Source organism: Homo sapiens, chromosome 10 (genome assembly GCF_000001405.40).
Source record: "Homo sapiens chromosome 10, GRCh38.p14 Primary Assembly".
Classification (NCBI taxonomy): Eukaryota; Metazoa; Chordata; class Mammalia; order Primates; family Hominidae; genus Homo; species Homo sapiens.
In genome coordinates this window covers 121,927,474-121,952,478 of record NC_000010.11, presented here as the reverse complement: position 1 = coordinate 121,952,478, position 25,005 = coordinate 121,927,474, and the positions used below count along the sequence as shown (strand labels likewise).

Genomic DNA, 25,005 nt, shown 5'->3' with positions numbered 1-25,005 from the left:
TACACATTCGTGGAGTCGTGAGTCACCGAATAATAAGTCCAACTACCACGTGGCACTGAAACCACATGGAGAGCTGCAAATGAGAGATGGGCCAGGGAGGCCCAGCTTTCTAGCCTTCCCTGCCAAGGGCATGTGGGGAAGCCATCTTGGACCCTCCAGATGAGCCCAGTCATCACCTGAATATCCCCAGGCAGCTCTGGTGGTACCTCATGGGACAGAAATGTCCAGTTGAGCTCTGTCTGATTTCCTGACATAGAACTGCGAGATATAATAAAGTGGTGGTTGCTTTAAGTCACTAAGTTTTAGAGTTGTCACACAGCCAGCTGAAACACTTGGAAATACTGTGCTTGTGGCTTTTTTAATTTTTGCCAGTTTGATGCACTTAAAAAAACCAGGGGAGTATATGTTTTATTGCATTAATGATTAAAAGTATGCTAGTCTAAAAAATATAAAATAATTTAAACCTTATTTTTTTCTAGTTGACTTCTCAAAAATGGTGGCATACTCAAGAGCTCCCTTCAGAGTGGTTTCTTAATTTTATACTCTCTTTTTTCTTATTTCTCCATCAGAATCATCACTTTCCTAAGTGCTTTCTGGTAAGGTTGCAAAATTGGATAAGCTGTGACCCATTCAAACTCTTTCACCTTCTCTTTTTCCACTTGAGATTTTAGGAAAGATGGAACGGGGCTGGAGCGCTTCTGAGCGTGTCTTTGCTTTGAGTTCTCTCCCTCAGATCATTCGGTCTTGGTGTCCCTTCATCTGTTCCTTTGTCCATGCCACCTTGTGCTTACTGGTTTCAGTTTTGTGTGTTTTCTGGATATTTTCATGCTTTCCATCCTTTTCCCGTGTTAGTATTTTAGGGGAAAGTATTTCACTGGGAATTCTTTGAGGGAGCAGTCGGTGTTTGTGGTCTCTGAGGCCTCTGGTTTGTTCAGCCTGGTATATGTTTCTTTGTAAGACTCAGTTCCCTCTCAGGCACTAGATAGTCCCATTTTTTAGTATCTTCTGTTTTCTCACGTTGTGATCTCTTTTCCTCTTCCTCTATTTTAGTTTCCCATTTTGGAACCATATTGTATTTCCATGCTTCTTCCATCATCATTTCTTGATGCTATTGATAGTAGTACGCCTCTGCTTTAGCAAACTGGAAATCAGAAGACACGGCCTTAAGTTTATGAAGTGTTTCATTCTCCTGCTGAAACTTGTGGACTAAACAGTTTCCTCACTTCTGAAGAATGGACACCACCTAGGCTGGGCGTGGTGGCTCATGCCTGTAATCCCAGCACTTTGGGAGGCCGAGGTGGGTGGATCCTGAGGTCAGGAGTTTGAGACCAGCCTGGCCAATATGGTGAAACCCCATCTCTACTAAAAATACAAAAATTAGCTGGGCGTGGTGGTATACGCCTGTTGTCCCAGCTGGTTGGGAAGCTGAGGCAGGAGAATCGCTTGAACCTGGGAGGTGGAGGTTGCAATGAGCCGAGATCGCACCACTGCACTCCAGCCTGGGCGACAGAGCAAGACTCCATCTCAAAAAAAAGGATGGACACCACCTAAACCCTTATGAAAGGGAAGTATTAGAACATTTTAAGTTGGATGTCCTTTATTCTATTTCCATGGTACAGATCTAAAACTCCTACACCATGTCCCAGTTAGGGACACTTTTTTGTTTTCTTAGATGGAGTCTTGCACTGTCACCCAGGCTGGAGTGCAGTGGTATGATCTCAGCTCACTGCAACCTCCGCCTCCTGGGTTCAAGCAATTCTCCTGCCTCAGCCTCCTGAGTAGCTGGGACTACAGATGTGTGCCACCATGCCCGGCTAATTTTTGTAATTTTTAGTAGAGACAAAGTTCCACTATGTTGGCCAGGATGTTCTCGAACTCCTGACCCCAAGTGATCTGCCCGCCTCGGCCTCCCAAAGTGCTGGGATTGCAGTTGTGAGCCACCGTGCCCAGCCCCACATACCTCCTACACTCTCCTCCTGCAGTGTTCCCTCCTACCTGAGGACTTTGCCGTAGCCTTCCCTGAGGAATCAGAAGCAGTCCCTCCGGAGCTCCTCCCTCCTCGCTGCCAGAACCACCACCTTGCCTCTGTCCCAACTCTGCCTTCCTGCCTTTACAGAGGAAACGCTGCCCCTGTGCCTTTCCAAAGCCAAGCCTTCCACCTGTGCTTGTTGAGCTTCAAGACTCAATTTTGCAATTATCAGATTCCCTTTCCCCAAAATCTCCCTGCTGCTGGGTCACTCCCATCCACATACAAATAGGCTTCAGTATATGTCATCTTTAACAAAAGAGGAAAGCTCTTCCTCTATTGTACACCCTGCTCCGGTTTTTACCCGCCTTTTTTACTCCTCTTCACAATATAATTTGAGTAGTTACCTGTGTTCCTTCTCCATTTTCTCACCTCACCTTTTCTCCTCAATCCACTTTTGCTGGGTTTTCATCCCCCACCCCCTTTTCCCCCCACTACTTCACTGACTGCTCTTGTCTAGGTCGTCACTGGTTTTTTTCTTTTTTTGAGACAGAGTCTTGCTCTGTCACCAGGCTGGAGTGCAGTGGCACAATCTCGGCTTACTGCAACCTCCGCCTCCTGGGTTCAAGCGATTCCCCTGCCTCAGCCTCCTGAGTAGCTGGGACTACTATGGTCCTTATGTAGACCACTCTTCAATTTCAGCTTAAACGTCACTCCCTCAGATCTTCCACAAACTCTCTCAGAGAAAACCTCATCCTTCCATGACACTTACAGTAATTTATGCTGTTTGTCTAATATCAATGCTCCTCACTAGACTAAGCACCCCTTTGTGGGGGCAGGGGTGGTTATTCTCTGTTCAGTGCTGTCCGGCCAGCACCATTGGTGCTCACTGAACCAAATGCTGAACTAAACAGGCAGAGAGCACTTTCCCTCGAAACACTTGGGCCCCTTCTACCTCAGGGATAAGCTTTTTATGATTATGATTATTACTGGCTCCAAACTCCATGGTAAATGTATTTCCTCACCTGAATCTTCTTTTCTAATGGGGAATAGGACCCTACTGCAATCTGAGGGTCTTGAGTATTTTTAGCCCAGGCCAATCTAGAAGATCAAAAAGAGAAATTATACTAGGATTTGGAGAAAGGTTTCAGGAAACATGCTCTAGTGTGAATTATATTAGGGAGTTGATTTGGGACACAATTTCCATGTATAGCAGAAGGCATTTCTCTCTGCCAACAGGCAGGACTCTATGGTATGTTTAACTTCTGTCTTTGCCCGAAGGAAGGAAGGAATGCACTCTGATAAAATTTGAATAAACAAAGAGAGCCGCATTTTGTTTGGGGCTGAAACTGTCAGAAGTACCTTTATATTAACACTGGACAGAGAAGACCATATTGCTATTTCAAATATCACAAACCACTGTTTTTGTATATTATTGCTAGGACAAAGAACTTAGCTTTGATGAGAAAAGTTTTCAAAGTCGGTAAGTACAAGAAAACAAGCAAAAGTTGGTATGTACATTTTAAGTGCAGTTATGTGCAAAGTTATTAGCAAGCAATATAATTTATAAGCTGTCATTAATTTCCAACAACAGCTATCTAACATCTTTCATGATTCTTGACAAAGGTTTACATTTTAAACTGGTAATAAAACTGTATGACAAAAGTTTTTTAAAATTTAATGCAGAAAAATATAGCTGAGAAATATGTTACTTAGGATAGAGAACAGTCATGTTTAAGCATCCTGGAGACCTCTTCTTAATCTGATTAGTTAGTAAATAGGTTCTATGTTTAACAACCTGCGTTATAAATATTTTGTTTTCTTTGGTTTCTCTTAGCAAAATAAGGGAAAGATTTTGTAAGACAGAACTGGAAAAAACAAAAGACTATTTGTCTAGTAAGTATTAATAAAGCTAATTTCTTAAAAAGACAGACTCATAATACTGTTTTATATTTTTCTTTTCTAAGAGGTTCTTATATTGTTTCCATAGCAACATTTATTGAGTTTAGTATACACTAGGCATTACACTATGAACTTAAATGGATTATTTTACTTAGCCTTCCAAACAGTCTTATGAGATAGGTCTTTATTATCCCCTAATCTTAGCAAAGGGACTGAGGCTATGAGAGGTTTCATGACTTGTCAAAGGCCCCAGGAGTAGTTTCAGAGTCAAGATATGTGCCTACATGACTCCAGAGCTCATCATTTTCATCCTTGGGCTATACTTATTCTCAGATAGCTGAATATTCTCTTGCCCAAAATAGCAGGAAAATAATACCTACTGTTCCTCTGCACTCAGCCTCAATCATTCGGAGTCTGTCACCAAAGACTCAGATCCTGTTTGTTGATCCTTCGCTAGTCCCGTTCCACTTCCTCCTCATAGCACCTTGAGTCACTGCCTCATGCTGTTATGACGCCTTTTGCTTCCACCATTGCCCTATCAATTGCCAGCTTTATATACATCTTTGCTCCTCTCTCTCCAACTCTCAGTGTCTGCTCTCCCATGTTCTAATCACTCATTCTCTATTCTGCAAAGCACTGTTTTCCAGACATTAAAGTTTCTGACCCTCTTTCAGACTTTCAGCTACCTACTATTGATCCTTCAGGATGCCTTGGGCTGATTTCTAAGGCAACCAGAAGCAGTCACAAGCTTTTCTGTGTGTCATCGCTATCCTAGACTGAGACTACTGTGAGGCAGTATGTGAAGACATAGTATGGTTGGCAGGGAATGGGCTTCACTCAGTGTAAGCTGGGCTGAATGGTCAGAGAGAGAAGCTAAAAGGGGCTGTGTTTCAACAGGCACAGGCATCCCATCTCAGTGCAGAGAAAACAATGTAAAAGGCAATGAAAGCATCTGATTTGCTTTTCTTTGGCATATATGTTGAGTATTCTCCATGGAAATGGAATCAGTGTAAACCCTTGGAGAGGATGCTGTATGCATATTCACAGTAGTTGGAGGAGGCTGGGTGAGTGGGCAATTGGCTTAGTCATGTGGCCTCATCATCACTTAGCTGGGGTGTCACTCAGCTAAATACTAATGCTGGGGAGGTTTTAGCTTTAACACACTTTAATATATTTTTAGTCACATATTATTTATGTTGATAACTGGTCTTTAAAGATAGGAAGCAGGCCGGGCACAGTGGCTCACGCCTGTAATGCCAGCACTTTGGGAGGCTGAGGCGGGTGGATCACAAGGTCAGGAGTTCGAGACCAGCTTGGGCAATATGGTGAAACCCTGTCTCTACTAAAAAATACAAAAATTAGCCAGGCATGGTGGTGCGTGCATGTAGTCCCAGCAACTCGGGAGGCTGAGGCAGGAGAATCACTTGAACCCGGGAGGCAGAGGCTGAAGTGAGCCAAGATCACGCCACTGTACTCCAGCTGGGGTGACAGAGTGACATTCTGTCTCAAAAAAAAAAAAAAAAAAAAAAAAGGAGGAAGCAGGAAGCAAAAAAGGTACCAGTGTTGAAATGTTGAAATACAAATGAATGAAAATGATTCTGTATATTCACTTCAAGATACTCTCTACCATGTATGCAAGCTGCATTCATCCAAAGTCATCATGTAGCCCAATGAGACATCTCTAGTTCTTTAAAACAAATGTGAAAAGGAGAAAATACAGTAATTAATTACCTGGATTCTTACTTAGGAATTAAATCTGTCCCTCCCAAAATGTGCCATGTGCAGAGAAGTGATTCAGACTGTAGCCCAGCCAGATGTGGTGGTTTATGCCTATAATTCCAGCACTTTGAGAGGCCAAGTGGGAGGGTCACTTGAGCCCACAGGTTCAAGACCATCTTGAGCAACATAGTGAGACTTCTATCTCTACAAAAAAAAATTTAGGCCAGGCTCAATGGCTCATGACTGTAATCCCAGCACTTTGGGAGGCTGAGGCTGGCGGATCACCTGAGGTCGGGAGTTCGAGACCAGCCTGACCAACATGGTGAAACCCTGTCTCTACTAAAAATACAAAATTAGCCGGGCATGGTGGTGCATGCCTATAATCCCAGCTAGTCAGGAGGCTGAGGCAGGAGAATTGCTTGAACCCAGGAGGCAGAGGTTGCAGTGAGCCAAGATTGTGCCATTGCACTCCAGCCTGGGCAACAAGAGCAAAATTCCATCTCAAGAAAAAAGAAAAATTTAAAATTGGCCAGGCTTGGTGGCATGCCTGGGGTCCCAGCTACTTGGGAGGCTGAAGTGGAAGGATTGCTTAAGCCTGGGAGGTCAAGGCTGCAGTGAGCCGTGATTGTGCCACTACACTCCAGCCTGGGCAACAGAGTGAGACTCTGTCTCAAAACAAAAACAAAAACAAAAACAAACACCCAAAATCATATTCATAAATAGTTACAAAAAGTAAATATATGGCCAGGCGCAGTGGCTCACACCTGTAATCCCAGCACTTTGGGAGGCCGAGGTGGGCAGACCATGAGGTCAGGAGTTCGAGAACAGCCCGGCCAATATGGTGAAACCCCATCTCTACTAAAAAATACAAAAATTAGCTGAGCATGGTGATGCGCACCTGTAGTTCCAGCTACTCGGGAGGCTGAGGCAAGAGAACCTCTTGGACCTGGGAGCCGGAGGCTGCCATGAGCCAAGACTGCGCCACTGCACTCCAGCCTGGGCGACAGCATGACACTCTGTCTCCAAAAAAATAGGAAGCAAAAAAAATACCAGTATTGAAGTACAAATGAATGAAAATGATTCTGTCTATTCACTTCAAGATACTCTCTACCATGTATGCAAGCCGCATTCATCCAAAGTCATCGTGTAGCCCATTGAGACATCTCTAGTTCTTTAAAACAAATGTGGGCCAGGCGTGGTGGCTCATGCCTGTAATCCTAGCACTTTGGGAGGCCGAGGTGGGCAGATCATCTGAGGTCAGGAGTTCGAGACCAGTCTGGCCAACATGGTGAGACCCTCAACTCTACTAAAAATACAAAAAGGTAGACAGGCGTGGTGGTGTGCGCCTGTAATCCCAGCTACTTGGGAGGCTGAGGTGCAAGAATTGCTTGAACCTGGGAGGCAGAGGTTGCAATGAGCCAAGACTGCGCCACTGCACTCCAGCCTGGGCAACAGAGCGAGACTCCATCTTAAAAAAAAAATGTGAAAAGGAAAAAATACAGTAATTAATTACCTGGATTCTTAGGAATTAAATCTGTCCCTCCCGAAATGTGCCATGTGCAGAGAAGTAATTGAGACTGTAGCCCAGCCAGATGTGATGATTTATGCCTATAATCCCAGCACTGTGGGAGGCCAAGCGGGAGGGTCACTTGAGCCCAGGGATTCAAGTCCATCCTGAGCAACAGAGTGAGACTTCTATCTCTACAAAAAAAAATTTAGGCCGGGCTCGGTGGTTCACGCCTATAATCCCAGCACTTTGGGCGGCCGAGGCTGGCGGATCACCTGAGGTCGAGGAGTTTGAGACCAGCCTCACCAACATGGAGAAACCTTGTCTCTACTTAAAATACAAAATTAGCGGGGCATGGTGACGCATGCCTGTAATCTCAGCTAGTCAGAAGGCTGAGTAGCCTCCTGTTGGTGAGCCAAGATGGCGCCACTCACTCCAGCCTGGGCAACAGAGTGAGACCCTGTCTAAAAAAAAAAAAAAAAAAAAAAACCCCAAAACCCAAAAAAACAAAACCAAAAAAAACTATAGCCCCCCAAAATAATATTCATAAATAGCTATAAAAGTAAATACATGGCCGGGCGCGGTGGCTCACACCTGTAATCCCAGCACTTTGGGAGGCCGAGGCAGGCGGATCACGAGGTCAGGAGATTGAGACCATCCTGGCTAACATGGTGAAACGCCATCTCTACTAAAAATACAAAATATTAGCGGAGTGTGGTAGTGGGTAGTCCCAGCTACTCAGGAGGCTGAGGCAGGAGAATGGCGTGAACCCAGGAGGCGGAGCTTGCAGTGAGTGGAGATGACACCACTGCACTCCAGCCTGGGCGATGGAGCGAGACTCTGTCTCAAAACAAAACAAAAAATTAGCTAGACGTGGTGGCACGTGCCTGTAGTCCCAGCTACTCAGGAAGCTGAGGCACGAGAATCGCTTGAACCTGGGTGGCAGAAGTCGCAGTGAGCTGAGATCACACCACTGCACTGCAGCCTGGGCAACAAAGTGAGACTCCATCTCAATTAACAAACAAACAAACAATACATGTATTTTATGCTTTAGAAAAGAATTTCAAACATCAGGTCATGTAATGGTTCAAAAGCATTAAATTACGTTTCATTCTACATTTTATATTAACTTGATCTCCAAACCAAACATAACACCATTTTAAAATTGATAAAAACCATGTCACTCAGATTTCAAACTCATGTGATATTAATTCAGCCAAAATTCTTATACATCTATGACCTGACGGGACCATAGGATACCACAAGCCCCTTTCATTCATTGGCTAAGAGTCAGGCATTGTGTGAAGTGCTAAAAGGCAGCCTCTTATTTACCCTCATGTGAAAAAAGAGAAGCCTCTTTTTTGATAAAGAAAAATATGCAGTCCTGAGTGTAAGCCTCCCTTTAAGTAATCAGCTTAAATTAAAATAACACTTATATAAAGAAAATCACACGGACCTAAAATTACTTTTTATTTAAGTACTATGTTGTAAATTGTTTCTCTTTTCTGACAAGAGAAACTAGACCAGAGAAAGAATATTTTTAAGCCAGTAAAATAAACAGAGAACTTTTCTGATAGTAAATCAGGTTGAAACAAACTATGAGCAAGACTGGGCTTTGCTCTGTAAGTGAAAGACTGCCTGAGTTGTGAAGAAAATGACTCTGATCTTCACACACCTAAATTTTAATCCTTCATAAAAAATCATGAAATGTGTTTAAAGAGTTATGGGAAGTCCTAGCTCATGGAGAAGATGGTGGTGATTGAATGGAAAGGGTTGTTAACCCCTTCTCACATAAAGTGAACTTGATATGAACTTCACAGTAAAATGCAAGAGCAACTTTTGGCATTGGAAACAGCGCCTTGCCTGCTGTCTCCATTTTGCAGAAGTCTGAGTGCATCCAATGGCATCTAAACACCAAACACGGACCCCTCCAACAATCCTATGAGGTGATAGGAATATCATCCCCATTTTACGTATGAGGAAACTTTAAGAGAGTTAAGTGACATGTTTAAGGCCACAAAGATGCTAAGTGGGAGACTGCAACTTAAACACCAATGTCTAAAAACAAAGCCTGTGATCTCATGCATATGCCATCCCACACAACCTTGGAATATCAAAGGAGTGGCAACAGTCTACTTTTGGTGAACTTACAATCCAAGTAGGCGGGAAAGAACTATATGCAAATATATCACAAGTGTAATAAAGGGGTAAAAATGCATTGCTTACATATTGAGAGATAACAAAGGGCTGGAGTCTTTAATGTGAGGTGGAACTGAAGACAGAGGCCTTCTTGGAAAAGGAAGTGCTTCTTGAAGTAGATTGAGAGCACAATCTGAGCAGAAATGTGGGAATACTCCTGAGACCAGCCAGGAGATGACTCAATCAAACTGGTTGTTAACAAGAGGAAGTTACACAAGCCAGAGTACCACATACACAGGGGGATGCTGGAAGCCAGAATATAGAGTACAGTATGGGGAAGGGACACTGAAGCCAGGACATGATGCAGAGGAATCTTGATGACTTTCCAAAACAAATAAAGACTCTGAAATGCTGTTAACAGCAAAGTGATTAAAAAGAAGAGATGCTTGATAAAAGATCCTGAAACCATAGGGCCTAGAAGCAGAGACAGAGAATTGGGCTGGTACACTAGAGGTGCAAGAACCTGGTTCTAGACCAGCACTGTTCAACAAAATTAGAATGTGAGTCACAGATGTAATAGAAAATTTTCTAGGAGTTTAAAAAAATAAAAATAAATAGGTGATTTAGTTTTAGTGATACGCTTTAACATAGTATATCCAAAATATTGTCAACCAACATGTAATCAACATACAAAGATTTTACACTGCTGTTCTTTAATCAACTTTCTTTTTTTAGAGCAACTTTAGGTTTACAAAAATATTGACTGAAAAGTACAGAGAATTCCTACATACCTTCTCTCCACAAGTTCCTCCTATTATAAACATCTTGTATTAGTGTGGTACATTTGTGATAACTGAGGAATCAATATTGATACATTATTATTAACTGAAGTCCATAGTTTACATTAAGATTCACTCCTTATCTTGTACCTTATATGAGTTTTGACGAGTATATGACACGTGTCCATTATTACTGTTTCATACAGAATAGTAGCACTGCCCTAAAAATCTCATGTCTGTACCTATTCATCTTTCCATCCCTCAATACCCTGAACCCCTGGCAACCTCTGATCATTTTACTGTCTCCAGAGTTTTGCTTTTGCCAGAAGTCATATAGTTAGAATCATATACTATATAGGCTTTTCAGATTGGCTTCTTTCCCTTAGCATTATGCTTTTAGGGTTCCTTTATGTCTTTTCATGACTTGAGAATGGCAATCCAGCTCATTTCTTTTTATTAGTGAGTAACATTCCATTATATGGATGTGCCAGTTTGTTTATCCTTTCACCTCCTGAAAGACATTTTGGTTACTTCCAAGTTTTGGCAATTATGAATAAAGCTGCAATAAACATTTGTGTGCAGGTTTTTGTGTGGACGTCAGTTTTCAACTGCTTTGGGTATATAACAAGGAGCACGATCACTGGATTGTATGGTAAGAGTATGTTTAGTTTTGTAAGAAACTGCCAAACTGTCTTCCAAAGTGGTTGCAGTGCATGTTGCCTCACCATCGGTGACATATGAGAGTTCCTGTTGCTCCACATCCTTGCTAGCATTTGGTGTTGTCAAACTTTAGCCATTCTAATAGTTGTGTAAAGGCATCTCATTGTTGATTTGATTTAATTTGAAGTTCTCTAATAACATGTAATGCTGAGCATCTCTTCATATGTTTTATCTGCCATCTGTTTATCTTTAATTGTCTGTTAAAATCTTTTGCCCGTTTCTAATTTGGCTGTTTGCTTTTTTATTGTTAAGTTTTAAGAGTTCCTTGTGTGTTTTAGATACCTGTCCTTTATCAAATACGTGTTTTGCAGTTTTTTTCTCCCAGTCTGTGGCTTGTCTTTTCATTGTCTTAACAGTATCTTTTTTTTTTTTTTTAGATGGAGTCTTGCTCTGTCACCCAGGCTGGAGTGCAATGGCGTGATCTCGGCTCACTGCAACCTCTGCCTCCCAGGTTCTAGCGATTCTCCTGCCTCAGCCTCCCAAGTAGCTAGGATTATAGGTGTGCGCCACCATGCCCGGCTAATTTTTCTACTCCTAGGAGAGGTGGGGTTTCATCATGTTGGCCAGGCTGGTCTCAAACTCCTGACCTCAGATGATCCGCCTGCCTCGGACTCCCAAAGTCCTGGGATTACAGGCATGAGCCACCATGCCCGGCCAACAGTATCTTTCACAGAGCAGAAAGTTTTAAATTTTAATGAAGTATTACTTAATTTTTTTTCTTTCATGGATCATGCTTCTAGTGTTATATCTAAAAAGTCATCACTAAACCCAAGGTCACCTAGACTTTCTCCTATGTTATTACCTTGGAGTTTTACAATTTTGCATTTTACATTTAGGTTTATAATTCATTTTGAGTTAATTTTTTACATTGGATATAAGGACTGTGTCTAGATGTATTTTTTTTTTTGCATATGGATGTCCAGTTCTGTGCCATTTGTGGAAAAGACTATCACTTTTCCATTGACTTGCCTTTGCTCCTTTGCAAAAGATCAGTTGGCTGTATTTGTATGAGTCTATTTCTGGGCTCTCTGTTCCATTTATCTATCTGTTCTTTCACCAATACTACACTATCTTGATGACTAGCTTTATAGCAAGTCTTGAAGTCCAGTAGCGTCAGTCCTCCAACTTTGTTGTTCTTCAGTGTTGTTTTGGTTATTATGGGTCTTTTGGCTGTCCATATAAACTTTTGAATGTTTGTTGATATTCAGAAAATGACTTCCTAGGATTCTGACTGGGACTACTCAGAATCTGAAGATCAAGTTGTAAAAAACTGATGTCTTAACAACATTCATCTTCCTTCAACGAACATAGATTCTCTCTTCATTTATTTCATTCTTTATTTCGAGGTTTGTAGTTCTCCTCACATAGATATTGTATTGGTCCTTTCTCACACTGCTGATAAAGACATACCCGAGACTGGGCAGTTTATAAAGTAAAGAGGTTTAATTGACTCACAGTTCCACATGGCTGGGGAGGCCTCAGGAAACTTACAATCATGGCAGAAGGAATCTCTTCACAGGGCAGCAGGAGACAGAGTGAGTGTCCAGCGAAGGGGGAAACTTCTTATAAAACCATCAGATCTCGTGAAAACTAACTCACTATCACAAGAACAGGATGGGGGAAATCGCCCCCCATGATTCAATTATCTCCACCTGGTCCCTCCCATGACACGTGGGGATTATGGGAACTACAATTCAAGATGAGATTTGGGAGGGGACACAACCGAACCATATCAGACATTAAACATATTTTGTCAGATTTATACTTATTTCTTTTTTCGTTGCTAATGTAAATGGTATTATTTTAAATTTCAAACTGTAAATGTTCATTCCTCTTTTTTTTTTGGAGACAGGATCTTGCTCTGTCGTCCAGGCTGGAATGCAGTCTGCAGTGGGATGACCTTGGCTCACTGCAACCTCCACCTCCTGAGTTCAAGTGATTCTTGTGCCTCAACCTCCCAAGTAGCTGGGGATTACAGGCACATGTCACCACGCCTGGCTAATTTTTGTATTTTTAGTACAGATGGGGTTTTGCCATGTTGGCCAGGCTGGTCTTGAACTCCTAACCTCAAGTGACCTGCCTGCCTTGGCCTCCCAAAGTGCTGGGATTACAGGCATGAGCCACTGTGCCTGGCCTGTTCATTTCTTTTTTTTCTTTTTTTTCTTTTTTTTTTTTTTTGAGACAGAATCTCACTCTGTCACCCAAGCTGGAGTGCAGTGGCTTGATCTCAGCTCACTGCAACCTCCACCTCCTGGGTTCAAGTGATTCTCCTGACTAAGCCTCCTGAGTAGCTGGGATTACAGGCATGTGCCATCACGCTGGGCTAATTTTTGTATTTTTAGTAGAGATGGGGTTTCACCATGTTAGACAGGCTGGTCTCGAACTGCTGGCCTCAGGTGATCTACCTGCCTCGGCCTCCCAAAGTGCTTGGATTACAGATGTGAGCCACTGTGCCCAGCTAGCCTGTTCATTTCTGATATATAGGAAAGCAATTTATTTTGGATATTAACAAGGCTGTATCCTGCTACCTTCCTGTAATTGGTCATTAGTTCCAGGAGGCTTTTTTTTGTTGTTGCTGTTTCTTTGGGATTTTCCACATAGACAATCATATCATCTGCAAACAAAGACAGTTTAATTCCTTCCTAATCTATATACCTTTGTTTCCTTTTATAGTCTTAGTACATTCACTAGGACTTCTGCTAAGACATTGAATAGAAATGGTAAGAGAGGACATCCTTGCCTTGTTCCTGATTAAGATCAGGAGATATAAGATCATTTTTTAGGAGAAACCACCTAGTTTCTCACCATTAAGTATGATGTTAGCTGTAAGACTTTAGTAGATGTTCTTAAATTGAGGAAGGTCTCCTGTATTTTAGTTTGCTGAGTATTTATCATGAATGGGTATTGAATTTTGTCAAACGCTGTTTCCATATCTACTGATATGATCATATGACTTTCTTTCTGATTTGAGGTGATGGGCTACAGTAATTGCTTTTCTAATATCGAACCAGTCTTGCATACCTGGAGTAAATCCTACTTGGTGATGGTGTATAATTCTTCCTATACATTGTCAGATTTGATTTTGGTATTAGAATAACGTTGGCCTCACAGAATGAGTCAGAAAGTATCCCCTTTGCGTCTATTTTCTGGAAGAGACTATACATAACTGGTATAATTTCTTCCACAAATGTTAAGTAGAATCTACTAGCGAACCCATCTGTGCTTGGCGCTTCTGTTTTCAGTCATTAGTCATTCATTAAACGTCTTTAATAGATACAGACCTATTCAGATCTTTTTCTTCTTTGGTGAGTTTTGGCAGATTCTACCTTTTAAGGAATCCATCAATTTTCTCTAGGTGGTCATATTTGTGGGCACAGAGTTTTAATTATATCCCCCTTTATTACTCATGGATAATGGACAATAAAGGTCCATGGATCAGTAGTGATGGTCCCTCTTTCACTTCTGATACCAGTAATTAGTCTTCTTTTTTTTCCTTAACCTTACTAGAGGTTTATCAATTTTATTTCACAGAACCAACTTTTGGGTTCACTGATTTTCTGTACCCATTTCCCCTATTTAATTTCTTTGATTTCTACTCCAATTATCATTATTTTTTTCTGCTTATTTGGGATTTGGCCTTTTTTTAGCCTTCGAAGGTAGAATATTGATTTTAGATCTCCTTTTTAAAGAATGCATTTACTGCTATACATTTCCCTCTAAGCACTGGTTTTGCTAAATCTCACAAATTTTAAGTTGTGGTTTCATTTTCATTTAGTTCAATATATTTCTTTTTTTCTTTTTCTTTTTTTTTTTGTGTGTGTGTGATGAAGTCTCGCTCTTGTCTCCCAGGCTGGAGTGCAATGGCATGATCTCCGTTCACTGCAACCTCCGCCTTCCGGGTTCAAGCGATTCTCCCGCCTCAGCCTCCCAAGTAGCTGGGATTACAGGCGCCTGCCATCATGCCTGGCTAATTTTTGTATCTTTAGTAGACAGGGTTTCATCACGTTGGCCAGGCTGGTCTCGAACTCCTGACCTTAGGTCATCTGCCTGCCTCAGCCTCCCAAAATATGGGGATTACAGGCGTGAGCCACCACGCCCAGCCTAGTTCAATGTATTTCTAAATTTCTCTTGAGACTTATTCTTTCACCAAAGCGTTATTTATAAGTGTGTTGTTTAATCTCCAAGTATGTTGGAATTTTCCAGCTGTCATTTTTTTTTTTTGAGACAGGGTCTTGCTAAGTTGCCCAGGCTGGGCACAAGTGATTCTCTGCCTCACTCTTCTGAGTAGATGGAATTATAGGCACACATCACTGTGTGTGGCTAATATCTGTTATTAATTTCTAGTTCAATGCCATTGTGGTCTGAAAGCAGACACTGCAGGTTTTCTAGTCTTTAAAATGTGTTAAGCTGATTTTTTTATGGTCCAGAATGTGGTCTACTTTGGTGAATGTTGTGAGCTTGAGAAGAAACTCTTAGGTGAAGAATTCTATAGATGTCAATTAGATCTAGTTGACTGATGATGTTATTTGATTCAACTATATTTTTACTGATTTTCTTCCTGGTAGATGCATCAATTACTGACAGAGGGGTGTTGAAGTCTCTTAGTATAATAGTGGATTCATCTATTTCTCCTTGTAGTTTTATCAGTTTTTGCCTGATGTAGTTTACCACTCTATTGGATGGTGTACCCACATAAAGGATTGTTATGCCTTCTTAGAGAATGGATCTCTTTATCATTATGTAATGCCCTTCTTTATTCCTAATTTTCTTTACTGTGAAGTCTGTTTTTTTCTGAAATTAATATAGCTACTCTAGGTTTCTTTTAATTAGTGTTAGCATGGTATAACCTTCCTCATTTATTTACTTATTTAATTTTGAAACAGGGTCTCTGTTGCCCATGCTGGAGGTCAGAGGCGTGATCATGGCTCACAGCAAGCTAAACCTCCTGTGCTCAAGTGGTCCTCCCACCTCAGCCTCCCAAGTAGCTGAGACTACAGGCACACACCACCAGGCCCAGCTAAAAACATTTTTTTTTTTTTTGTAGAGACAGGGTCTTGCTATATCGCCAGGGTCTTGAACCCCTGGCCTCAAGCAATCCCCTCCTTGGCCTCCCAAAGTGCTGAGATTATAGGCATAAGCCACCATGATTGGTCCATCCTTCTGCTTTTAATCTAAATGTGTCTTTAAATTTAAGGTGGTTTTCTTGTAGACAACATATAGTTGGGTCTTGTTTTGCTTATTCATGCTGACAGTCTGTTTTTTAACTGGTGTCTGAGATCACTGACATTTAAAGTGATTATTGATATAGCTGGATTAATATTTGCCATGTTACTTTTTTTTTTTTTGAGACATAGTCTCATTCTGTTGCCCAGGCTGGACTGCAGTGGCACAATCTCAGCTTACTGCAACCTCTGCCTCCTAAGTTCAAGCGATGCTCCTGCCTCAGCCTCCCGAGTAGCTGGGATTACAGGTGTGTGCCACCATGCCCGGCTAATTTTTGTATTTTTAGTAGAGACGAGGTTTCACGTTAGCCAGGCTAGTCTTGAACTCCTGGCCTCAAGTGATCCACCCGCCTTTGCAGATCAGTCAGAGTGGTGGGAGAAACTATAGGGAAAGGAGCAGGCCTTCTTTAAGGTCAGAAGGCTCTGCATAGCTTCGGGGGAGAAAGCTGAAGGCAGCTGTTCTCTAACCCTGAGGCAGAGGGCGAGGAGTATGTGCAAGGGAGTGAAGGGGAAGTTATCTTGATCAGGCTCGTGTGTTTGAAGTTGTCCAGAAACTGACCTTTGAACATCTGCACAAGGTTCCCTGAAAGGGGAACAATAAATGTTAATTATCCACAGATTGTGTTTGCTCCAGGCTTTTGGCACTGTACTTGCACTGAATAAAAGCAAGCAGCTCCAGCTTCTCGGGGCTGCACTCTGGCCACTTGAGCCGGGCAGTGCACTAGCTGCTCTGACACTTCATGCCTGTGTCTGAGTACTCATTTCATCCGTTGGTCAGCCAGGGTCTGAGGGACAGACCTGGCATGCCTTAGTCTCCCGAAGTGTTGATATTACAGGCTTGAGCCACCGTGCCTGGCCCATGTTACTATTTTTTTTTTCTGCTCTTGTTCTTGGTTTTTTTCTTTTCTTTTTTTCTGTTCCACTCTTTTTCAGCCTTCTTTTTTTTCTTTTCTTTTCTTTTTTTTTTTTTTTTGAGACAAGAGTCTTGCTCCGTTGCCCAGGCTGGAGTGCAGTGGCATGATCTTGGCTCACTGCAACCTCTGCCTCCTGGGTTCAAATGATTTCTCGTGCCTCAGTCTCCCAAATAGCTGGGATTACAGACGTACGCTATCATGCCCGGCTGATTTTTGCATTTTTAGTAGAGATGGGGTTTCACCATGTTGGCCAGGCTGGTCTTGAACTCCTGACCTCAGGTGATCCGCCCGCCTCGGCTTCCTAAAGTGCTAGGATTACAGATGTGAGCCACTATGGCTGGCCTGCCTCTTCGGGTTTTAAGTTAAGCATTTAATATGATTTGATTTTTTCTCCTAATTTAGTCTATCAAATGTTTTTGCTTTTTAATTTATTTTTAAAATTATTTTCATTTATTTTAACTTTTTATTTCCATAGTTTAAATGGTTGCCCTTGAGTTTGCAGTATACACTTTTTTTTTTTTTGAGATGGGGTCTTGATCTGTCACCCAGGCTGGAGGGCAGTGGCGTGATCTTGGCTCACTGCAACCTCCATCTCCTAGGTTCAAGCAATTCTCCTACCTCAGCCTCCCAAGTAGCTGGGTTACAGGTGACTGCCACCATGCCCAGCTAATTTTTGCATTTTTAGTAGAGATGCAGTTTTTCCACGCTGGCCAGGCTGGTCTCGAACTCTTGGCCTCAGGTGATCTGCCCGCCTCGGCCTCCCAAAGTGCTGGGATTACAGGTGTTAGCTACCGCACCCAGCCTGCAGTATACGTTTATAACTAATCCAAATTCTCTTTCAAATAATACTATACCACTTTATGAATAGCACACAAGTACCTTATAACAGCATTTCCATTTATTACCTCCCATCCCTTATAACACTGCCGTCATTTATTTCCATAAGGTTCAATGATCATACTACTTACCCATAAGCTATAATTACCAAATACACGTTTTTTCTGTTTTTTAAGATGGAGTCTCGCTCTGTCACCAGGCTGGAGCGCAATGGTGAGATCTCAGCTAATTGGAACCTCTGCTTCCCAGGTTCAAGCGATTCTCCTGCCTCAGCCTCCTGAGTAGCTGGGACTACAGGCACGTGCCACCATGCCCAGCTAATTTTTTTGTATTTTTAGCAGAGGTGGGGTTTCGCCATGTGGGCCAGGATGGTCTCAATCTCTTGACCTTGTGATCCGCCCACGTTGGCCTCCCAAAGTGCTGGGATTACAGGCGTGAGCCACCATGCCTGGCCCAAATACAAGTTGTTGTTATTATCTGTGGCCAACTGCTGTTAGATCAATTAAGGTTAAAAACATTTTTACCTCCATTTATTCCTTCTCTAATGCTCTTCCTTTCTTTATGCAGATCTGAATTTCTGAGCCACATTATTTGCCTTCTTTTTTTTTTTTGAGATGTAGTCTCGCTCTGTCGCCCAGGCTGGAGTGCAGTGGTGCGATCTCCGTTCACTGCAACCTCTGCCTCCCAGGTTCAAGTGATTCTCATGCCTCAGCCTCCCGAGTAGCTGGGATTACACGTGTGTGCTACCACCATGCCCCGCTAATTTTTTGTATTTTTAGTAGAGACGGGGTTTCATCATGTTGGCCAGGCTGGTCTCAAAGTCCTAAGCTCAGGTAATCCACCTGCCTCGGCCTCCCAAAGTGCTAGGATTACAGGCGTGAGCCACCATGCCCGGCCTATTTGCTTTCTCTCTGAAGAATTTCTTCAACATTTCTTGGAAAGCAGGTCTACTGGCAACAAACTCCCTCCATTTTTATCTGAGATAGTCTTTAATTCCCTTTCACTTTTGAAGGATAATTTCTCTGGATATAGAATTCTAGGCTGTTTTTTGTTCTTTCAATATTTTTTAAATACTTCACTCTCCTCTCTCCTGGCTTCCATGGTTTCTGAAGAGAGGTGTGATGTAATTCTTATTGTTGCTCCTCTATATGTAAGGTCTCTTTTTTCCTCTGGCTTCTTTCAAGATTTTCTGTCTTTGATTTCTGGTGCCTTATATATGATACACCTGTGTAGACTTTTTGGCATTTGTGCCTGCTTGGTGTGTTCTGTACTGTTGTAGTTTTAAAATTCAAATTAATTAGGGTCAGGCGCGGTAGCTCATGCCTGTAATTCCAGCACTTTGGGAGGCCGAGGCAGACAGATCACCTGAGGTCGGGAGTTCGAGACCAGCCCGACCAACATGGAGAAAGCCCATCTCTACTAAATATACAAAATTAGCTGGGTGTGGTGGCACATGCCTGTAATCCCAGCTACTTGGGAAGCTGAGGCAGGAGAATCACTTGAACCCGGGAGGCGGAGGTTGCGGTGAGCCGAGATTGCGCTATTGCACTACGGCCTGGGCAACAAGAGCAAAACTCCGTCTCAAAAAAAAAAATTAATTTAAATAAAACAAAAAAATTTAGTTCCCCAGTCACACTAGCTACATTTTAGGTGCTCAACAGCCACATGTGGCTAGTATCTACCACACTGGTGGCCAGATCCAGATAGTTGAGGAAAGGAGATCAATCTAGGGCTCCTGACAGTGAGTGGCCTGCAGAGGAAAGCACCTCCTGGACTCTGCTGGCACCTGAGGCACCCTGCTGCTCCTGTTCACCTCCCTGCCTCTGCTCATACAACCCAAACCTGCTTCCTGGAGTGTCCCTCCTCTCTGTCCTCAGATTATCTTTATTTTACCCTTTTTGCTCTGCCTTAACTTAGGTCCCATCTACTTACAACACCTTTAGAGGGAAAGGAGAATGTGTTTTACTTTATTACCTTTAAGAAACATGATCTAAGCCTGTTGTCACCATGCAAAGATCCTTCACATCACCAGGGCCTAGGGCCGAGCCTCACACTTGTGGCTTTGTAGACTCAATATTACATCTGATAACATTAAAAATGTTAATGGGGGCCGGGCACAGTGGCTCATGCCTGTAATCCCAGCAGGATTGGGAGGCCGAGGTGGGGGGGATCATGAGGTCAGGAGTTCAAGATCAGCCTGGCCAACATGGTGAAACCCTGTCTCTACTAAAAATACAAAAATTAGCTGGGCGTGGTAGCGCGCACACCTGTAATCCAATCTACTCAGGAGGCTGAGACAAGAGAATTGCTTCAGTCTGGGAGACGGAGGTTGCAGTGAGCTGAGATTGTGCCATTGCACTCCACCCTGGGTGATGAGAGTGAAACTCCATCTCAAAAAAAAAAAAAAAAAAGAAGTTAATGGGACCGAAAAATTTTTTTGTCACCATGTTATTGTCAAGTAAGAAAATGAAAAGCAAAGACAACTGTCTATTGCTAGCATCTCATAAGCAGAACGACATTCTAATAGTGTCCTCCATTTTCCCCCAAAAAGGAGGAAACTAAATGAAGCTATGTATTTTTTTTTTTTCATGGAAGACAAAAAAGTTGCCTCTGACCTTGAGCAAAATAGACATTTAGGAACTCACACAGCTCCAAACCTAGTATTTGTTTATCTCTTTTCCATTTCGATTTCTTTTATCTTTATTACCTTTTCTCCCTCCAAATGTCTGTTATTAGTTGTTTAACCTTGGGTAAGTTATTTAGCCTCTCTGATCTACATTTCCTAACTTGTGAAGTTGCTATAAGAATTAAGGGAGTTAACACATATGCTGGCCGTGCACAGTGGCTCACGCCTGTAATCCCAGCGCTTTGGGAGGCCAAAGTGGGCTGAGCTCCCAAGCTCAGGAGTTTGAGACCTGCTTGGGCAACATGGTGAAACCCCGTCTCTACTAAAAATACAAAAATTAGCCAGGCGTGGTGGTGTGCACTTGTAATCTCAGCCACTTGAGCCCAGGAGGTTGAGACTGCAGTAAGCTTTGATTGTGGCACCGCACTCTAGCCCGGGTAACAGAGTGAAACTGCCTCAAAAAGAAAAGACAAGCCAGGCGCAGTGGCTCATAACTGTAATCCCAGCACTTTGGGAGGGCGAGACAGGAGGATCACCTGAGGTCAGGACTTTGAGACCAGCCTGGCCAACATGGTGAAACCCCATCTCTACTAAAAATAAAAAATTAGCCCGGTATGCTGGTGCACTCCTGTAATCCCAGCTACTCGGGAGGCTGAGGCATGAGAACTGCTTGAACCCAGGAGGCAGAGGTTGCAGTGAGCCAAGATCATGCCACTGTACTCCGGCCTGGGCAAGTGTTAGACTCTGTCTCAAACAAACAAACAAACAAACAAATCAAAAACCAAAAAACACCACATATGCCTAGGACTTTGGACATTCTCATTATTTTTCAAGGCTGGCATGTCTTGAAGTGCCCTGGCTGAGGTTAGTGTAGGACTTAGGATAAGGATGAGGCTTTAGAGGGACAGAAGTGAAGTGGGACAGGAATATTAAGACCAAAAAGCCTCCTGGTCCACCTTCTGTCCAGAGCATATTCTGCTCTCTTTCTGATGCATTCCACGGGCTTTGCTTTTGTTCAAAATGAGAGCCGGTCTGGGAAAGGACTGGGAATAGTCAAATCTGCCATAAAGAACAAAATGGATGAAGCTTGACTTAAGAACATGAATACTGAGATATAGCATGCAGTTTTCAAGTTTAAGAAGTTGGAGGAACGCCTGAGAAGCTGCTGGATATTACATGGCCACTCCTTAGGTGCCTTCCGATTGTGGGAGGCACAAGTGATGCTTGGCAGTATTAACAAGCGTGGGGAAAACAAAGAGAGATCAGACTGTTACTGTGTCTTCGTAGAAAGAAGTAGACATAAGAAACTCCATTTTGTTCTGTACTAAGAGAAATTCTTCTGCCTTGAGATGCTGTTAATCTGTAACCCTAGCCCCAACCCTGTGCCTGCACAGACATGTGCTGTGTTGACTCAAGGTTTAATGGATTTAGGGCTGTGCAGGATGTGCTTTGTTAAAAATGTGTTTGAAGACAGTATGCTTGGTAAAAGTCATTGATATTCTCTAATCTCGAGTATCCAGGGACACAATGCACTGTGGAAGGCCACAGGGACCTCTGCCCAGGAAAGCCAGGTATTGTCCAAGGTTTCTCCCCATGTGATAGCCTGAGATATGGCCTCGTGGGAAGGGAAAGACCTGACCGTCCCCCAGCCCATAAAGGGTCTGTGCTGAGGAGGATTAGTGAAAGAGGAAGGCCTCTTTGCAGTTGAGGTAAGAGGAAGGCATCTCTCTCCTGCTTTTCCTTGGGAATGGAATGTCTCAGTGTAAAACTCGATCATACGTTCTATTTACTGAGATAGGAGAAAACCGCCTTATGGCTGGAGGTGAGACATGCTGGCGGCAATATTGCTCTTTACTGCACTAAAATGTTTGTGTAAAGCCAGACATAAATCTGGCCTACGTGCACATTGAGGCATAGCACCTTTCCTTAAACTTATGACACAGAGATCTTTGCTCACGTTTTCCTGCTGACCCTCTCCCCACCATTACTCTATAGTCCTGCCACATCCCCCTCACCGAGATGGTAGAGATAGTGATCAATAAATACTGAGGGAACTCAGAGACCAGTGCTGGCGCGGGTCCTCCGTATGCTGAGCCCTGGTCCTCTGGGCCCACTGTTCTCTACACTTTGTCTCTGTGTCTTACTTTTTTTCTCAGTCTCTCGTCCCACCTGACGAGAAACACCCACAGGTGTGGAGGGGCTGGCCCCCTTCAACAAGTCACCAGGCCACCAAGAAACCTCCTTCAGCTAGGTACATATCTAACACAGGCCCTTGGGGTCAAGAATGTCAAAACTCACCTCAAAAATTTATTTCTATTTCTCTGAGTTTCATTTCACTTTTTTAAACACACTTAAAACAATATTGTATCATCAGCTTTATTGTTGACTGGGAAAACTATGAGGACAGACAGGCTTAAATTATCTGTGCACGCAGAGGGAAAGATAAGGCATATTACCTTGTTGGAACTCTTTTTTTTTTTTTTTGAGATGGAGTCTCGCTCTTTCGCCCAGGCTGGAGTGCAGTGACGCGATCTCTGCTCACTGCAAGCTCTGCCTCCCGGGTTCACGCCATTCTCCTGCCTCAGCCTCCCGAGTAGCTGGGACTACAGGCGCGTGCCACCACGTCCCGCTAATTTTTTGTATTTTTTAGTAGAGAAGGGGTTTCACCATGTTAGCCAGGATGGTCTCTTATCTCCTGACCTCGTGATCCACCCGCCTCGGCCTCCCAAAGTGCTGGGATTACAGGCGTGAGCCACCGCGCCCGCCCCTGGAACTCATTTTTTAAAAAATTTTTTTGAGATGGAGTCTTGCTCTGTCACACAGGCTGGAGTGCAGCGGCGTGATCTCGGCTCACTGCAAGCTCCGCCTCCCGGGTTCACACCATTCTCCTGCCTCAGCCTCCCGACTAGCTGGGACTACAGGCGCCCACCACCACGCCAGGCTGATTTTTTGTATTTTTAGTAGAGACGGGGTTTCACGTGTTAGCCAGGATGGTCTCAATCTCCTGACCTCATGATACGCCCGCCTCGGCCTCCCAAAGTGCTGGGATTACAGGCATGAGCCTCAATTTTATATTTTGCCCTAGACTCTTATTCCTTAAATCTTCCTTAAAATAGTGGTTGCAAAATGGAGGCCCATGGGCTGGATTCAGCCTGTAAAACTGTTTTGTTTGGACTGTAGAGTTAAAAAAAACAAACAAACCCTGTATTTCCAGCATCTCATTAAAAATCGTATGAGGCACCGGACTTATAGTGGTACAAGACAGCAACTGTCTCTAGCTGACAGTTGTTTCCTTTAAAAGCCGTTAAGAGTTCTTTAATTTGCGAACCCTCGCCATTCACGGAATACCTGCTTGTGTTCTTGTATTCAGGGCACTGGAGTGCGTGCCAGCTGGTCTGGAAGCAGCTCCAGCAAGTCACTTACACGGTGGCCAGGGGCGGCCTGACTTTCAATCCGAGACCCGCCGGGAATGACTTTGGGATAATCACAACCTCCGGTCCTCAGTTTCCTTACCTGTGAAATGGGGCTGATAACGCACAGCTGTGGGAAGCACCGGCCCAAACGCAGGGCTTGGGGACACGACCACCATCCCCGCCCACGGGTCCCCGCGCCAGGCTTCGCTCTCCACCCCTCCCGCCGCGGGCCCCAGCGCTTCGCCGAGGTCGGCCCCGGGCGCCAAGAGGCGTGGTCGGCCCGAGCGGACCCTCGCGGCGGCCATGGCGTCGGTGGTGGAATACAAGGGCCTCAGGGCCGGCTACCACTGCGGCTACTGCGATTCCAAGGAGGGCAAAGCGTCCTGCGGTGAGTGTTCCCGACGCCGGAGTTGGCGCGGCCGCCGCGCCCCGCACAGGCCCTCGGCGGGGGAAAGGGCAGGCTCGCACCCCGACTCCCGCTTCCCTTCCCCTCTTGACTCTCCCCATCCTGTTTCCCTTCCCGCTCTGTCTCTCCGCCTCACCCTCACTGACGACGGCGGCCCCTTATGGAGAAGGAACGGAAATAGTGGAAAGCTGCCCTCGGTCAAGATGGCGCGGGCGGCGTCAGCTCCAAGAGGCGCCGGGCCGGCCGGGCCTGCGGGCGCCCGAGTGGCTTCGCGCGAGCCTCGGGAGGCTCCCGGGCGGCGCGCTGCATTGTGGGGTGGCGGCGGCGGCCGCGCTAGCGACGCGGGGCCGGGCGGCTGAGCGTTCGCGGGGCCGAGGCCATGGCTTTCTGGGCGGGGGGTTCGCCCAGCGTCGTGGACTATTTCCCTAGCGAGGACTTCTACCGCTGCGGCTACTGCAAGAACGAGTCGGGCAGCCGCTCCAATGGTGAGCGAGCCGGGCCGGCGGGCGTGGGAAGCCGGGCGCCCGGGTCTCGGGATCCCAGGGTCCCCCAGCGAGGACGCGAGGGGGCCGGAGCCCCTGGCCCCAGTGCCACGGCCGAGACGGAGGGGGCACTCTCGGGAGGGCCGCGGCGCCGGCTTAGCGGGGCAGCTTCGCGGTGCCTGTTCTGCAGGAAAATCCTAACCGGTGCCCGTACTCTCGAAATCGTGGTGGTCTCCCCAGAGTCGGGAGACGGACGCCCGTCTGGGGTAGATTGTGTGAGGTGAAGGACGGCGCGCAGTGCCAGGGAACGCCCCAGAGCCGTAGTTAATGGCCGGGGCTGACCGGTGGGTGCTGCGGTGGGAGCGTCCCGGGA

General features: G+C 44.5%; 1 protein-coding gene and 1 pseudogene across 31 annotated transcripts in view, besides 5 other annotated features; one reads left to right on the top strand and one right to left on the bottom strand.

Moving 5' to 3' along the window:
• Positions 1 to 513: 513 nt before the first annotated feature.
• ATE1OSP (ATE1 opposite strand, pseudogene) lies at positions 514 to 24,167 on the bottom strand (annotated as a pseudogene). The gene is made up of 2 exons (NR_120495.1): positions 23,845 to 24,167; positions 514 to 1,141 (listed from the first exon to the last, which is right to left on the bottom strand). The product of NR_120495.1 is annotated as an ATE1 opposite strand, pseudogene (transcript).
• Positions 21,751 to 22,045: a silencer, noted in NCBI's record as "tiled region #2750; K562 Repressive non-DNase unmatched - State 18:Pol2". NCBI's record gives its function as "represses a minimal TATA promoter and a strong SV40 promoter by Sharpr-MPRA in K562 cells {active_cell/tissue: K562}" and the evidence as "EXISTENCE:reporter gene assay evidence [ECO:0000049][PMID:27701403]".
• Positions 23,682 to 24,548: an enhancer, noted in NCBI's record as "NANOG-H3K27ac-H3K4me1 hESC enhancer chr10:123687446-123688312 (GRCh37/hg19 assembly coordinates)". NCBI's record gives its function as "activates a minimal SCP1, AML or CMV promoter by ChIP-STARR-seq in naive H9 embryonic stem cells {active_cell/tissue: H9 hESC(naive)}" and the evidence as "EXISTENCE:reporter gene assay evidence [ECO:0000049][PMID:30033119]".
• Positions 23,682 to 24,776: a biological region, named in NCBI's record as "NANOG-H3K27ac-H3K4me1 hESC enhancer GRCh37_chr10:123687446-123688312".
• Positions 23,867 to 24,166: a silencer, noted in NCBI's record as "silent region_2887". NCBI's record gives its function as "represses an Ori minimal core promoter by ATAC-STARR-seq in GM12878 lymphoblastoid cells {active_cell/tissue: GM12878}" and the evidence as "EXISTENCE:reporter gene assay evidence [ECO:0000049][PMID:35858748]".
• The window catches only part of ATE1 (arginyltransferase 1), a 188,040-nt gene continuing 187,050 nt past the window's right edge, over positions 24,016 to 25,005 (top strand). For 20 of the 30 annotated variants that reach the window (NM_001288735.2, NM_001439379.1, NM_001439375.1 and 17 more), the window contains exon 1: positions 24,448 to 24,635. Coding sequence is in view for 22 of the 30 variants with exons in the window: in NM_001439379.1 (NP_001426308.1) it covers positions 24,530 to 24,635 (106 nt within the window). In the remaining 8 variants the exon portion in view is untranslated. Of the gene's footprint in view, positions 24,133 to 24,447; positions 24,636 to 24,747; positions 24,977 to 25,005 lie in introns of those variants that run through there. The other 10 variants (NR_110006.2, NM_001439381.1, NM_001439374.1 and 7 more) reach the window with 2 other exon arrangements.
• Positions 24,357 to 24,776: a silencer, noted in NCBI's record as "silent region_2886". NCBI's record gives its function as "represses an Ori minimal core promoter by ATAC-STARR-seq in GM12878 lymphoblastoid cells {active_cell/tissue: GM12878}" and the evidence as "EXISTENCE:reporter gene assay evidence [ECO:0000049][PMID:35858748]".